The sequence below is a fragment of the Homo sapiens genome, chromosome 2 (genome assembly GCF_000001405.40).
Source record: "Homo sapiens chromosome 2, GRCh38.p14 Primary Assembly".
Taxonomy (NCBI): domain Eukaryota; kingdom Metazoa; phylum Chordata; class Mammalia; order Primates; family Hominidae; genus Homo; species Homo sapiens.
The window spans coordinates 236305088-236319312 of NC_000002.12; the positions used below are offsets into that span (position 1 = coordinate 236305088).

At 45.5% G+C, this 14225-nt stretch overlaps 1 protein-coding gene across 1 annotated transcript in view; it reads right to left on the reverse strand.

Annotated features, from left to right (window-relative positions):
- Positions 1 to 1597: 1597 nt before the first annotated feature.
- The window catches only part of DRC11 (dynein regulatory complex subunit 11), a 200792-nt gene continuing 188164 nt past the window's right edge, over positions 1598 to 14225 (reverse strand). The window contains exon 20 of the transcript XR_007081589.1: positions 1598 to 3941. The gene's annotated coding sequence lies outside the window, so the exon portion shown is untranslated. The remainder of the gene's footprint in view (positions 3942 to 14225) is intronic.

Here is a 14225-nt window from a genome sequence, read left to right on the forward strand (position 1 = left end):
AGGGCCTTCTGGCTGTGTCCTCTCATGGTGGAAAATGGAAGGGCAAGTGAGACAAACCCCCTTTGCCACGCCCTTTTATAGGGGCACCTAATCCTGTTCATGTGGGAGGAGTCGCATGGCCTAATCACCTCTTAAAGGGCCCACCTCTTAATACTATCACCTTGGCAACACCTGAATTTTAGTGGGGACACGTTCAAACCATAGCAGCTATCAAGCCATGGACAGGCAATTCGGTTGGCAGCTTATATATTATGTCCTAGCTGCTCCCAGGCATGGTCCATTCATAAGGGGCCTCTGGCCATTTGTCTGGTGGCAAGAATGCCCACAATCTTCTTCAGTTTCTCCTCTTTCTGATTTTCAGTGCATAAGACTGGGTGTCTAAACAGAACTTCTGAAATCTTAATGTGCATTTGAGTCACCTGGGGATGTCAGAAACAGCAGATTCTGATACAGTAGGTCTGGGGTGGAGGATGTGATCCTGTATTTCCAAGAGTGTTTATGGGGACCTGCAGCATCAGTATCACCCAAAGACTTGTTAGAAATGCAGTATCTTGGGCTCCTACCTTGACCCACTGATAAAGAATCTGCATATTAACATGAGCCCCAGGAAAGTCAAAAGCACATCTAACACCAAGAGGCACTGCTCGTGGGGAGGGTGCAGCGTGGCACATATGGAATCCCGGAGCTGCAGGCGAACATCTCTCAGGCAACCAGTGCGTCGCGTTCTGCCAGGTGCCCTCACATGCACTGGGGCCCCAGTCAGTTTCTTTAAGCCCAATCCGGATCTTCCATCCTTTTTGCTTCCAGGCGATATTTGTGATCCACTGCTGTCTCTTCGTGGTGTCTCCTGATGACATCTGCAGGGGCCCCCTGTGAACTCTTTCTAGTTAACAGGCATCACTTTTGTGCAGTGAGCCTTCCTTTTGTGCAGTGAGCCTTCCTGTCCCCACTTACCTGCTCTGCCCTGCAATCCTAGGGGCCCTGGACAGAGATGGGGTCCAGTGGGCAGGGTCTGAGGATGTTTTATTGACCTGCAGCTGTCCAAGGGCTCTCTGGGAGGTCGCAACATAAGGCCACATCATGCTGCCCCTGCCAGCGCTCCTCCTCCTCACGGCTGTCGGGTGCTGGGCTCCTGGGGTAAAGTGCAGGGAGAGAGAATCTTAGGAGGTTTAGTGGCCTAATAATGCCAGCAGGACACTGTGGAAGACAGTGGTGTAATGTCCTCAACTTGTATCCAAGAAACCAGCTTTCAAGAAGATTTTATTGGCCCCAATATACTCATATCAGCCCCACTCTCCTGATCCAGCTCCTCTTATCACCCCGGCAATCTCCATTCCATAGGAATTCACCCAGGCAACAGGAGGAGGGCTTGGAAACTCCTTCTTGTTCAAGGGGCACTTGTACCTCTTCCCACAGTCAGTAGAAGTCATTAGGATGTCACATTTCCAATTATACATGTCACCCCACCCCACAATGAAACCAAATTAGATATGTCAACTGAAGTGTGTGTGCGTGCCCTGGATATGGTGGGGATGGTGGTTTGGTAAGGTCAACATAACTGTCATATTCTAATACAATTGGCCAAGACAAAGAGAAATTCATGGACAAACACATTTATTTAGCTTTGGGGAAGGCATGTCAGATCCCTCATTCTAATAAGGAAAGAAGGAGAAGGGGCCCATGTCAAATTTTCTATTCCTAAGCATTTCTTCCACATTCACTCAAATATGAAGCCTGTCTGGTTAATATCACACCTCTTCAAACATCGGCTCTTGCAGCCTTAACTTGCTAATATTATCCTGTGTGTAAATTATCACAGAGGCTAAAAGAGGTTATGTCCGTCCCACTGTATAATCCTCTCCCGTTCTACACCCCCTTCTTACACCATTGCAGCCCCGTCCTATAATAAAGTGAGGGAAACATTAGGAGGGATGGGGCGGGGTGATTGTGGGATGGAGTCTTCACTTGACCATCAGAGATGTTTGTCCTCAGAGTCAGGTCCTTCCTCCTCATGTGAGTCCTTCTATACCGTGCACACAGTACTGCCCACTCTAAGCAGTCCTGTCCTTAGGGATTTTGAGATTCAGGGAGGACATTTTCAGGTGGATTCATCAATTCCTGGATCGTCAATGCTCAGGACTTGCCTCTTCAACATCCGGCATGAGAAGAACCCATACAGAGCGCACATCTCAAGCAGACCCCCTGGCTCCTACGACAGCGCCCCAGGCTTAGAGGCCCGCGGGAAGGGGAGCCTGCAAAAAGCACCATTCAAAGGAGAGGGGAGGCTGTGAGGAGGGAGATGGCAGAGGCCAGTGCCTGCAGACCCCTGTCCCTGAGCCAGGGCTGTTTGAGCCACTCCCTTTAACATGCTATTTGTAAAGCTTATTTTTAAGCCTCACAGTGACTTGTCAAGACAGCAACTTCCTGGCCCCCTTGCAGTTAGAAGGCCCTCTCTCCATTGCCCATTTTTGATTTAATTCTGGTGTTTTCCTGCAGCCCAGCTCAGCGTCCTAACAGTGGCCCAAAGGGTGATGGCGGGGGTGTCCTCTAGGATCATCTAAGGCAGGGGGTGTGAGGATGCCAGACTCTTGCAGCAACATTCTATGGAGCTGCCTTTCAGAAATGTTCATCCCACCGGTGTTGAGGGTGTGGAATTAAAATCTGATGGAAGCATTTTCTCTACTCTCAATGTATTTGGAATTCATTTCAGCTTTTCCCTGACAATAGCTTCCCTGCTGCTTTCTTCTTCCCTTTTGTGTCTGGGTGTGGCTGGGAGGTCCTGGGGCCTTTTAAATGCACAGTGACACAGGTGTCCTCATATGCTTGCGGGGGCACAAGCATCGTGGTGTGCTTGCAGTGACACAAGCGTCCTCGTGTGCTTGCAGTGACACAAGCGTCCTCGTGTGCTTGCAGTGACGCAGGCGTCCTCGTGTGCTTGCAGTGACGCAGGCGTCCTCGTGTGCTTGCAGTGACGCAGGCGTCCTCATGCGCTTGCAATGATACAGACATCGTGCTGTGCTTGCTTTGCCAACTGAAAAGTGACCTGGGAGAGGGTGGAACCAGTCAGTGTCTGGGTTCCTCTGAAGGCATTTGCAGACACTGACAATTCAGAAAATGTCTCCAACCAGGCCTTGCTTCTCTCAGTGTGGAACACACCTGCCTTTGGGCAGTTCCTCTGATGGCAGGAATGATTGACAGGCATCCTCTGCTGGGGGTGTCCATCATCCAGGAGACCCCCCTTGGAGGGCTGGCAGGAGGCCGTGTCCCCTGGTCTGTGATTTTTATTCTTCACATCACCTTCTGTGTGTGTGAGCCTCCATGCAGCTGTGCCACTTTCGGGAACATACCCAGTAGACACAGATGCAGCAATGCACAGAGATCTCTGTGTGGGGATACTCGTGGTACAGTTGTGAGTGGCCCAGATGGGCAGCTGTGGCAGCTCACGCTAGCGCTGCTGTGTGATAGTGAGCCCTCTGTGGCCAGTGTGGGGGCTCTGCCTTCCATCCAGAAGGAATGTGCAGCATTTGTCCTTCTGTGCTTGGCTAATTCCACTTAACATGGTATCCTCTAGGCTCATCCATGTTGTTGAAAAGGAATTCATTGAGTTTTATGGTGGAATAGTATTCCATCTGTGTATATACCACATTCTTTTAATCCATCCCTCCATAGATGGACGCTAGGGTTGATACCATATCTTGACTATTGTGAATAGTGCTGCAGTGAACACAGGAGGGCAGGTATTGGACCACCACACTGTGCCCCATAAATATGCACAATTATTATCCAACAGTTAAAATAAAACTTAAAGCAATGAAACAACAACAAGAAAAAAGGAACACGTGCTTCTGCTGCAGGGGAGCTGTGAGTGGGAGCCTCCAGCTGTTGGGAGCTCTGGGGTCCACCTTTAAGCCAAAGTCTTTCTCTTCCTTTCCGGGCAGCACCTGGCAGGTGATGAGAAGCCAAGAGAAAAGGTTAATGGCTGATGACCAGGTGAGACCCACAAGAGAGGCATCAGAATACACGTGTTACCTGCGCTGTGCGTTTCCTATAGGACATAAGCAGCCGCACAGTGGCCGAGAACTCCCTCGCGGCGGCTCCCTGCTCCAGGCACTCCCCGAGGTTGTGCTGTGCCCTGGCCCTGTCAGTCCACACTTCAGAACCACACCGTGCATCACAAGGTCGATAGCTACTGGAGCCTTGCACAAAATCGGCCCAGTGAAAATGTTCATTAAATGAGTGTTTCTTTCAGTCCTAATTACCCTTCCTTCCCTTTCTACCAAGTCTAGCCCATCCCGAGAGGTTCCAGGGTCCCAAGGAAGAGACATCCCGTTTACTCACAGAGACATCCTGTTTACTCACAGGTGGTCATTGCCTGTGAGCATTTGCAGAGTGGGTGGGAAGGCAGGGGCAGGAGGAGGTGTGGAGGCCCCCCAGGCAGGCTCAAAACGGACATTCTTTAAATATTTGTCCAACATTTACTTACTGGAAATGGCGAATAGCTTATTTCCTGTTAGCAAATAAATATACTCATCCACAAAATGACACGTCTCCATCTTTATATTTAGAATAAGAGATTTCTGACACGCATGGGTCATCCTAGAGCATGTTCTTAACCTGGAATTGATGGAGAGCAGTGCTTGCAAGTCTCCACTTGAGGGCACTGTGACCCCAGTGTTGTGTTGGTGTCCCTTTCAACTGGACCCCGGGCAGGTGCCCGACGGTCCACCTCCTCATCCAGCTCTCACCGTGCTCCTGGAGGACGGAGGGATGTTTCCAGCCTCACCAAGGAGGGAGGCCTTGAGCTGAGTGACTGGCATCTCTGCTTGGGCACCCTTGGCCACCGGAGGAGCAATCTTGGTGAGAAGAGCTGGTGCCAATCCCTCCTGGGGTGGCAAGCTCTCTGGTGCTGCCTGTGCACCCGTGCCTGCCCGCAGTTTGATCAGTGATGGGTGTGGGAGAGGCTGGGTCCACCTTCCTCACAAAGAAAAGGGTGTAGGGCAGCCTGGCCACCAGCAAGGTCACTGCTAAGCCTAGGAGGACAGGCCCATGAAGCAGCAGTGGGGATCCTTTGCTGTCTGGTTGCCACCTTTGCCTTGGTTGACCTGGGAAAGATCTACACTCCTCCCTTTCCTGGGCCCAGGAGAAAAGGCAGGAGCTGGCTTCACCAAGGCCCAAGGTATCCCAAATCCAGATGCTAAGCATTTGGAGGATGGCACAGAAACATCTGCAGAAGAAACTCAGCCCTGGCAGTCCAGAAGTTCCTCCCCAACTGGACACGGCACTACTGTGCCCCAGGGACATACAGGGAGCCTTGATGGTTCCAGTTTCATCAACTCATTATTATCAGCATTATTTAATCCTGGTAGTGCCATAATCCTTTCCCCTGTGTATGTGTGAGTATGTATCATGCAAGATTCAAAGTCACTTGATGTCATGAGGAAAATAAAGACTCTCTGCATAGAGCAGAAATAATTTGCACGACCAACTTGGGGTTGAGTGTTCTCAAATGAACTCCAGTGGTCCCTGGGCTTTCAGAGGGCCAGACAGGCACCACTGTCGAAGGGCTGCGTAACAAAAGGCCCTGGCTGGGTGCATTATAATTTGCTCCAACCAGTTCCAAAGTACTCAGATTTCCAGTGATGTGAAGAGAAATACTAATGTCACAGGACGTGGGCATTGTGCCTCATATAAATACACACACAAAAGCTAGGCGAGGGTATTTTGGATGTCTTGTTGGGGAGGATGTAATTAAGCTTCCCTTAGAGAATGCTTTGAAGTCTGTGGCTCACTGTTTTATATAAAAGTAACCTCCCCATTCACCGATCTGTCAGTTGTAGAATTCTAGCCAATTGGGAAAGTTGCTGAGGGAGAATCAATTAGTTTCCACTTGGAGTAAAATCTATCTTTCAAGAGGGAGCTATCATGCCTGCTCTGGCTGTTTGAGTCAAGCGCCAACCAATCTCACCTCTGGGGACGACACACTGTGCTCAGGGAGCCTTGGGGGTCCCTTGGCCAAGTGCAGGTCTCTGCACAGCCCCCAGGTGTGTGCCGTGGGGAGGCATCGGTTTCTAGCTGGTATCAGCTTCCGCCAAGGCCTCACTGCCTCTCAATGAGATCTCCCCACCCTTCTGAGCCCCATATACACTCGAGCCTGGCCAGCAGGGCAAGCGCCACACCTGGGTGGGTTGTGTTGGAGGTAGCAGGTGGTGGTGCTCACTCCACAGGGTTGGAGGCAGCAGGCAGAGCTCAAGCTCCCTGTGAGCTCAGGAATCTGCTGGCAGTCTTGTGTCTACCAGTTTCTCCCGATCCCAGGGAAGAGGCTCAAAGTGGGGCCTTGCTCCTGTGTCTTATCAAGAGTGAGCCTTGTCCTTCACCTTCCCTATCTCATTCTGGTCACATTTCTCCAGACGTGGCCAGAACTGACCTTGCTCTGCATCCAGTATTCCTGTTTTCTTAGGATCCTGGAGGTCTGCTGGTTACTGTGGTAGCAGAGGGTGGTCCCAGTGAAGCAGTTATCGGGATACTAGGTTCAGAGCAGAGATAGTGCAGAGCACAAAGGGAAACAGCCAGGACAGGCAGCACTGTGGGCTTGGCCAGCTGGATGGGGTGCGTGTGTGTGTGTGTGTGTGTGTGTGTGTGTGTGTGTGTGTTGGGGCTCACTTTTGTCTCACTGGGCCTCCTCTTTGAGACAAGCTCATGCCTGGACATGCAATCCTAGGCCTTGGAGTGTGACAGGATGCTAAGCCAGGCTGGAGAGAGCAGTGGCTGCTAGTTGGGGATGCAGGTGGGGTTTGCAGAGGATGAAACTGTGCAGCCCCTTTTCCTCCTATTTCTTCTCCTCTAGTGTTTTCATTCTATAGATATGTTAAGGTGATGTGTCCCTTCACTTTCCAGGCCATTGTTTAGCTAAGTAGATACAAGCTTTTGTGTTGTTTTCTATAATATTTTAAATCATTAATTGATTCCTTAAAACTCACATTTCCCATTGTTCAACAGGTTACCCACTTTTCAAAAACCTATCCTAAGATTCCAGATGTGCTCCCTAAGGACATATAGAGATAAGGATTTAGTACAAAAATTAAAACTAACATCAGGACTGAGACACCACTGAATCTGCTTTTCCACAGTTACTCAATTTACAGAACTTTCAAAGCCATTTCAGTCTACCATGCCTTCACACAGAGCATTATAGTGGCCCAAGCCTCCATTTTAGAATTGTGATCTAATTTCTTTTAATTTACATGTGTACATCATAGTTCTTAAAAAAAAATATTGTATTCTAATTGCAAATGTAGTGTGTATTACATAGGAAAAGCCTGAAAAGTGACAAAGAAAATAAGCATTCCTATAACTGATTCTGATATATGCCCCCCTAATTCTATATGCACATAAGTATAGCCTAAAATGCATAATGATAACTATATTTCATACTTGGAGATTAAAGAAAATCTTAGTACCCAACAGGAGATAGATTTTCAGAAAAAATTGTATAGGTCTAAATCTATATAGTGAAAAGAAAAAAGTAAAAATTAATGAGTTAACTATCTTCAAGAAGAAAAATAACAGCAAGTTAAATCCCAAGAAATAGAAGGAAAGAAATGATAGAGATAAGAGTAGAAATTAATAAAGTAAAAAATTACAATAAAGACAGCCATCAAATAAAAAAACTGGCTCTCTGAATTTTTATTTTTAAAGGAAAGATAAAGCCCTGATGAAACTGATTGAGGGAAAAAAGAGAAAAGGCACAAAAAACTAACATCAAAGAATTAAAAATAGGACACTATTTCAGGTCTTACAAATATTAAAGCTAATAAGAAGATATAGTGAAAAACTTTATGCTGATAAATTTGAAAATCTAGATGAAATAGACAAATTCCTTGAAAAACACAACTTACCAAAACTGACACTAGAAGAAATAGAAAATCTGAATAGTCTTAAATGCATTAAGAAATTAAAATCCTTTCTATACAGATGGATTTACTCATGAATGCTACTAAACCTTTAAGAGAATATAATACTAGTCTTACAGAAATTCTTACAAAGAACAGAAAAAGAAAGAATATTTTGCTACTGATTTTATGAGGTCTTGATATAAAGACCTAACAAAGATATTACAAGAGAAGAAAGTTATAAAACAAGTCTCATTTAAGAACATAGATGCAAATATTCTAAGCCAAATACTACTAAAGAAAATAAAATGATATACCAAAAAAATACACTATAAACATAACTTTGTACTTGAAAATGCAACACTGGTTTAACCATTATCAATCAATCAATTATTACATATATATCAGGCAAAAAATTGTGACAATACCAAATGCTGATGAGGATGTGGAGAAACTGGATCATTCATACATTGCAGTTGGGAATGTAAAATGGTACTACCATTACGGAAGATGGTTTGACAGTCTTGACAGTTTCTTATAAAGCTAAACATACATAGAACTAGCAATTGCACTCTTGGGCCCTTATCCCAGTTTTTCACTGAAAAACATATTCACACAAAAACCTGTATAGAAATCCTCATAGCAACTTTATTTGTAACAGCTAAAAATTGGAATGAGCCCAGATGTCCTTTAACAAGTGAATGGTTAAACAAACTGTGATGAATCCATACCATAAAATACTATCAAACAATAAAAAGCCGTGAACCTTTAATACATGCAACAACATGGGACTTATTCCCATGGAATTATGCTGAGTGAAAAAAGCCAATCCTAAGGGGTATTGAACGTTTATTCCATTTATAGAACATTTTTAATATGATGCAATTTTAGAAATGGAGGATGGATTCTTGGTTGCCAAGGCTTAAAGGAAGAGGAGTAGGAGGGAAGTAGATGTGGTTAGAACTGGGCAGCATGAGAGATCCTCGTGGGGTTGGAATTGTTCTTTTGTATCTTGGCTGTGCTCATGGATACACAAACCTGAAAAGATGATAAAACTTAATACATATGCATATACACACACAAATGAGTACAAGGAAAATGGTGGAAATCAGAATAAAATTGGTATGTTGTATCAGTGATATTATACTATAATTGTGCAAAATGTTACCATTGGGGGAGATTGGGCAGCACCTATGCAGGATCTCTCTGATATCTCACTAAAAATTCAATTAAAAATCCTTCAATAAAATCAACATGGTAACAAAAGGAGAAAGTTATGTGATCATCTCCATTGAGGCAGAAAGAGTATTTGCTACAAGTCCACAACCATACATGATAAACATTCTTAGCACACGAAATGTGATAAAGTATAGTTTCAAAACTTTGTACCTAATGATAAAATGTTGAACATTTTCCTGCTGAAGTCTGAAACAAGGATGTCTTCTATGATCACTTCTAGTCAACATCATAACTAAATGGCCAAGCCAGTGCAATAAAGCAAGAGAAACAAAAAGCTATGAGAATTGCAAACAAATAAATAAAACTGTAATTTTCCAAAGGCAATATGCCTATGGACGTTTAAAAACACCACAGAATCTAAAAACAAATAATTAAAATTAGATAATAAGTTTCACTTGTTGCTGGATATACAACCAATTCAAAAAGTAAATTTTATTTCTATATACCAGCAACAAACAGGTATAAAGTAAAACTTAAAAATGAAATTTATAACGGAAAATTATCAAATATCTAGAAGTGAATCTAAGGAAAGATGTGTAAGATATCTACACAGAAAATTACAAAACATCATTAAGAAAATTTAATGGCTAAAACAAGTGCTGGGAAATATCACTTTCATGGACTGGAAAACTCAATAATGTAAAGATGTCTGTTCTTCTCAAATTGATCTATAGATTCAATATAATTTACATTAAAATATTAGTTTTTTGGTGGAAATGCATAAGCTGATTATAAATTCCTTTAGAAGTGCAAAATGTCAAGCATATCTAAGACACTTTGGAGAAAAACAAGGTGGGATGACTTACTCTATGGATGCAAACCATTATTGTAAAGCTACAGTGCTCAAGTCAATGTGATATTGGCAGAATGATAGACAGATGCAGTAGATCAGAATAGAGGATTTGTAAGCAAATCACTGTCTACATAAACACTTGTTTTCATTGTTGTTGTTGTTTTTAAATACTTGTTTTCAATGATAGAGGGCACTGAAAAGCACTGGGAAAAGAACAGTCTTTTCAAGAAATGGTGCTGGAGCTTTGGGTCAATCACATATTCATATGGCTCTGAAATAAGACTTGAACCATGAACAAAAATCAATTCCAGGTAAACTCGCAGATATAAATGTGATAAGTGAAACAATAAAGCTTCTGAAAAGGGGAGAAATAGGAACGTTTTTACACCGTTGGTGGGAATGTGAATCAGTTCAACCATTGTGGAAGACACTGTGGCAATTCCTCAAAGATTAAGAACTGGAAATACCATTTGACCCAGCAATCCCGTTACTAGGTATATACCCAGAGGAATATAAATCATTCTATTATAAAGATACATGCATGTGTATGTTCATTGCAGCACTATTCACAATAGCAAAGACATGGACTCAACCCAAATGCCCATCAATAATAGATTGGATAAAGAAAATGTGGTACATATGCACAATGGAATACCATGTAGCCATAAAAAGGAATGAGATCATGTCCTTTGCAGGGACATGGATGAAGCTGGAAGCCATTATCCTCAGCAAACTAACGCAGGAACAGAAAACCAAACACCGCATATTCTCACAAGTGGCAGCTGAACAATGAGAACGTGGACACAAGAGGGGAACAACACACACTGGGGCCTGTCGGAGGGCGGCGGGTTTGGGAGAGCATTAGGGAAAAGAGGGAATGCATGCTGGGCTTAATACCTAAGTAATGGGTTGATAGATGCAGCAAACCACCATGGCACACATTTACCTATGTAACAAACCTGCACATCCTGCACATGTACCTGGAACTTAAAATAAAAGCTTCTGAAAGCTATTAGCAACAATAGTGTCATAATCTTGAGGTAGGCAAAGAACTCTTAACATAGGACACAAAAAAACTGTAACCACAAAGACAAAGTTGATAAGCCAAGTTTCCTTAACATTAAGAACTTATTTTCTTCTCTCTCTCTCTCTCTCTCTCTCTCTCTCTTTTTGAGATGGAGTCTCACTCTGTTGCCCAGGATGGAGTGCAATTGTGCGATCTTGGCTCACTGCAACCTCTGCCTCCTGGGTTCAAGTGATTCTCCTGCCTCAGCCTCCAGAGTAGCTGGGATTACAGGCACCCACCACCACGCCCAGATAATTTTTGTATTTTTAGTAGAGATAGGGTTTCACCATGTTGGTCAGGCTGCCCTCAAATTCCTGACCTCAGGTGATCCACCTGCCTTGGCCTCCCAAAGTGCTGGGATTACAGGCATGAGCCACCGCAAGAACTTTCATTAAAAGACACCATTATGACAGTGAGATGGAAGCTAAAGAGTGGGAGACAATATTCACAACCATGCACCTGCAAACAGCTTCTCACTAAAAGTATAAAATTAATAAGAAAGAAATAGACAACCCAATGGAAAAATAGACAACCAACTCAGCGGGTTTTATTAAAAAGTACGGTAATATTCAAGTGATCACTATGCATATGAAAAGATGTGCAACCCCAGTAGTCATTAGGAAAGAGGAAATTAAAACCATTGTGAGATACGACACACTCCAGAGTGGGGACAATGAAAACGCCTGACCACACCAAGTTGGAAGGATGTGGAGTAGTGGGAGTTTGCATGCATCGCTGGTGGCAGGGAAATTGGAGCAGCCAACGCAGTAAACTTGGTGGCACTGCGACCACATGTGATGATGCTCTGGGGCGAGCAGCTGTCTTCCCAGGCATATACAAACAGCAGTGTGTGCACATGTGTGCAGAGAGACAGACACAGATGTCCACAGCAGCATCATTCATAATAGCCGCAAACTGAAGAAAAAATCATAGGCGCTCAGCCGGGCGAGGTGGCTCACGCCTGTAATCCCAGCACTTTGGGAGGCCGAGGTGGGAGGATCACCTGAGGTCAGGAGATCGAGACCATCCTGGCCAACATGGTGAAACTCCGTCTCTACTAAAATACAAAAAATTAGCCGGGCATGGTGGTGCACACTTGTAGTCCCGGCTACTCAGGAGGCTGAGGCAGGGGAATCACTTGAACCTGGGAGACAGAGATTACAGTGAGCTGAGATCGCGCCACTGCACTCCTGCCTGGCGACAGAGTGAGATTCCATATCGGGGGAAAAAAAAAAAAAGATAGGCTCTCATTAACAGTAAAATAGGAAGCCTAAGTATGGCATCTACAAGGAGATACTACGCAGTGATGGAAGTGGACGAACTGCGACTGCCTGCAAGGCTGCAGGAGTCTCACAAGCTAATGTTGGCTAGAAGAAGCCCGACGGAAATGAATACACACTCTTTACTTCCATGTACATAAAGTTCAAACCCAGCTAAAAGTAACCTAGGATGCTGGAAATCAGGACAATAGTTGCCTTTGCAAATGGAGAGGGCAGTGATTAGGAGAAGGGCTTCTCAGGAGCTGGGAGCATCTCCACTTTACATTTTGCTAGTTGAGCCCTTTTCTGTGCTTGTGTCATAATTCAACAAAAGCATACATGTTTACACCCCTCATGGATATTTACATTTTTCTAAAGGATGACTAGAAAGATTTATTTCAATATAAGGAGTCTGCAATGGCGTTTTCAGGCACAATGAGTGCTATGGTTAAAGTATTTGTCTCCTCCAAAACTCATGGCCCCTGGCATGTGGAGTGCCTCTATCTGAAGAACAAGAGGAACTCAGAGCTAGAAGCCTCTTTATGGGGATCACTCCAGGTCTTTTATTGATGAAGAAATAAATATGGCTTCCTGGGGTCCCGTGGGAGGGTCCCAGATCACCCCTCATTCAGTCTCCATCCTGCTCCTCCCAGGCAGACACCGGTCTCACGGTGCGGTGTAGGGGAGCCACACTGTGTCCTGGAAAGTTCATTAGCTTGTAAAGTGGTGCAGCGCTTCTGGCCTGTTGCCAGTCCACGCCACTCTCCTTGGGTGCAGCAGTCCCGCCCCACCCCGCCCGCCCTCCTTGGGCCCAAGGTGCAGCTGGGAGCTGGGTGTCTGCGTCAGCCTTTCCTGCAGCTGGGGGCTCCTCTGACTCCCACGGGGAGCAGGAAGCTGCTTTCCCGCTGCACTCGATGTAAACAGTAAACACATCCCAGCACCTGCCAGACCTCCCTGTTCCGCTGCTGCTGTCCCTGCCGCAGCCCTGGGAAGAGGCCTGAGGCCCAGGGGTGTGCAGGCCACCAGCATCTGCCATGAGCCCACCGAGGAAATAATGGCAGCTGTGGGACTGCACGCATGCCTACGTGTGCATGCCTGTGTGTGAACACATGCATGTGTGGGGTGTTGATGTGTTTGCATGTGTGGGATGTATGTATGCATGTGTATCTGTGTATGTGTGTTTTTGGGCCTGTATATGTATATATGTATATGAGTGTGTGTAGGGAGTGGTCCATGTGTGTGTTTGTGTGTACATGTACACATGTGTATGTATGTACAGCATGTGGTGTGCATATATCGTTTGTGTTTGTATGTGTGCATGTGTTTGTGTAGTGTGTACAGATCACATGTGTACACGTGCATAGTGTGTGGTATATATGAATGCCCTGTGTGTGTGCATGCATGTGTATATGCTGTACATGTGTATGTATGTGTGCCGCCAGATTGACCCAAGGTCACTCAGAAGGTTTCTGAAATTAGCCCAGCCCAGCGAGCTTTCCATAAAGCCACAACCCTCTTGACAGCACCCGGCTCATCTTCCTTTCCAGACAGGTTGGGAGTGAGGCCTGAGGAATGGTGGGCACCAGGCTGGCCAAGGGCTCCAGAGGTGGAGCCAGGGTTATTCAAGAGGTGGTGGACAGACGTGCAGGGCACCCCCAAAGCGGCCCCAGCAGGAGAAACAGAGCAGAGTGAAATGAGAAGAAGGGTAGTGGGAGGATCTGGAGAAGGGCCCCAGCTTTTTTGGGGCCCCAGGGGCTTCTCACAGGACCCTTCTGCCATGCCCCTCCTCCTTCTTCATCGCAGCCTGCACTTCCATTCCAGGAAGGTACAGCCTGCCCCATGGCACTTGTTCTGCTGGGCAGGGTCTGCTTTGGGCACTCAGCAGTAATTGAACAGCAGGTGGCGTTCACTGAGAATGTGCCCTCGTGCCAGGCATTGTGCCGTGTACACGGCTCAGTTTACTCCTCACGATAGCGCAG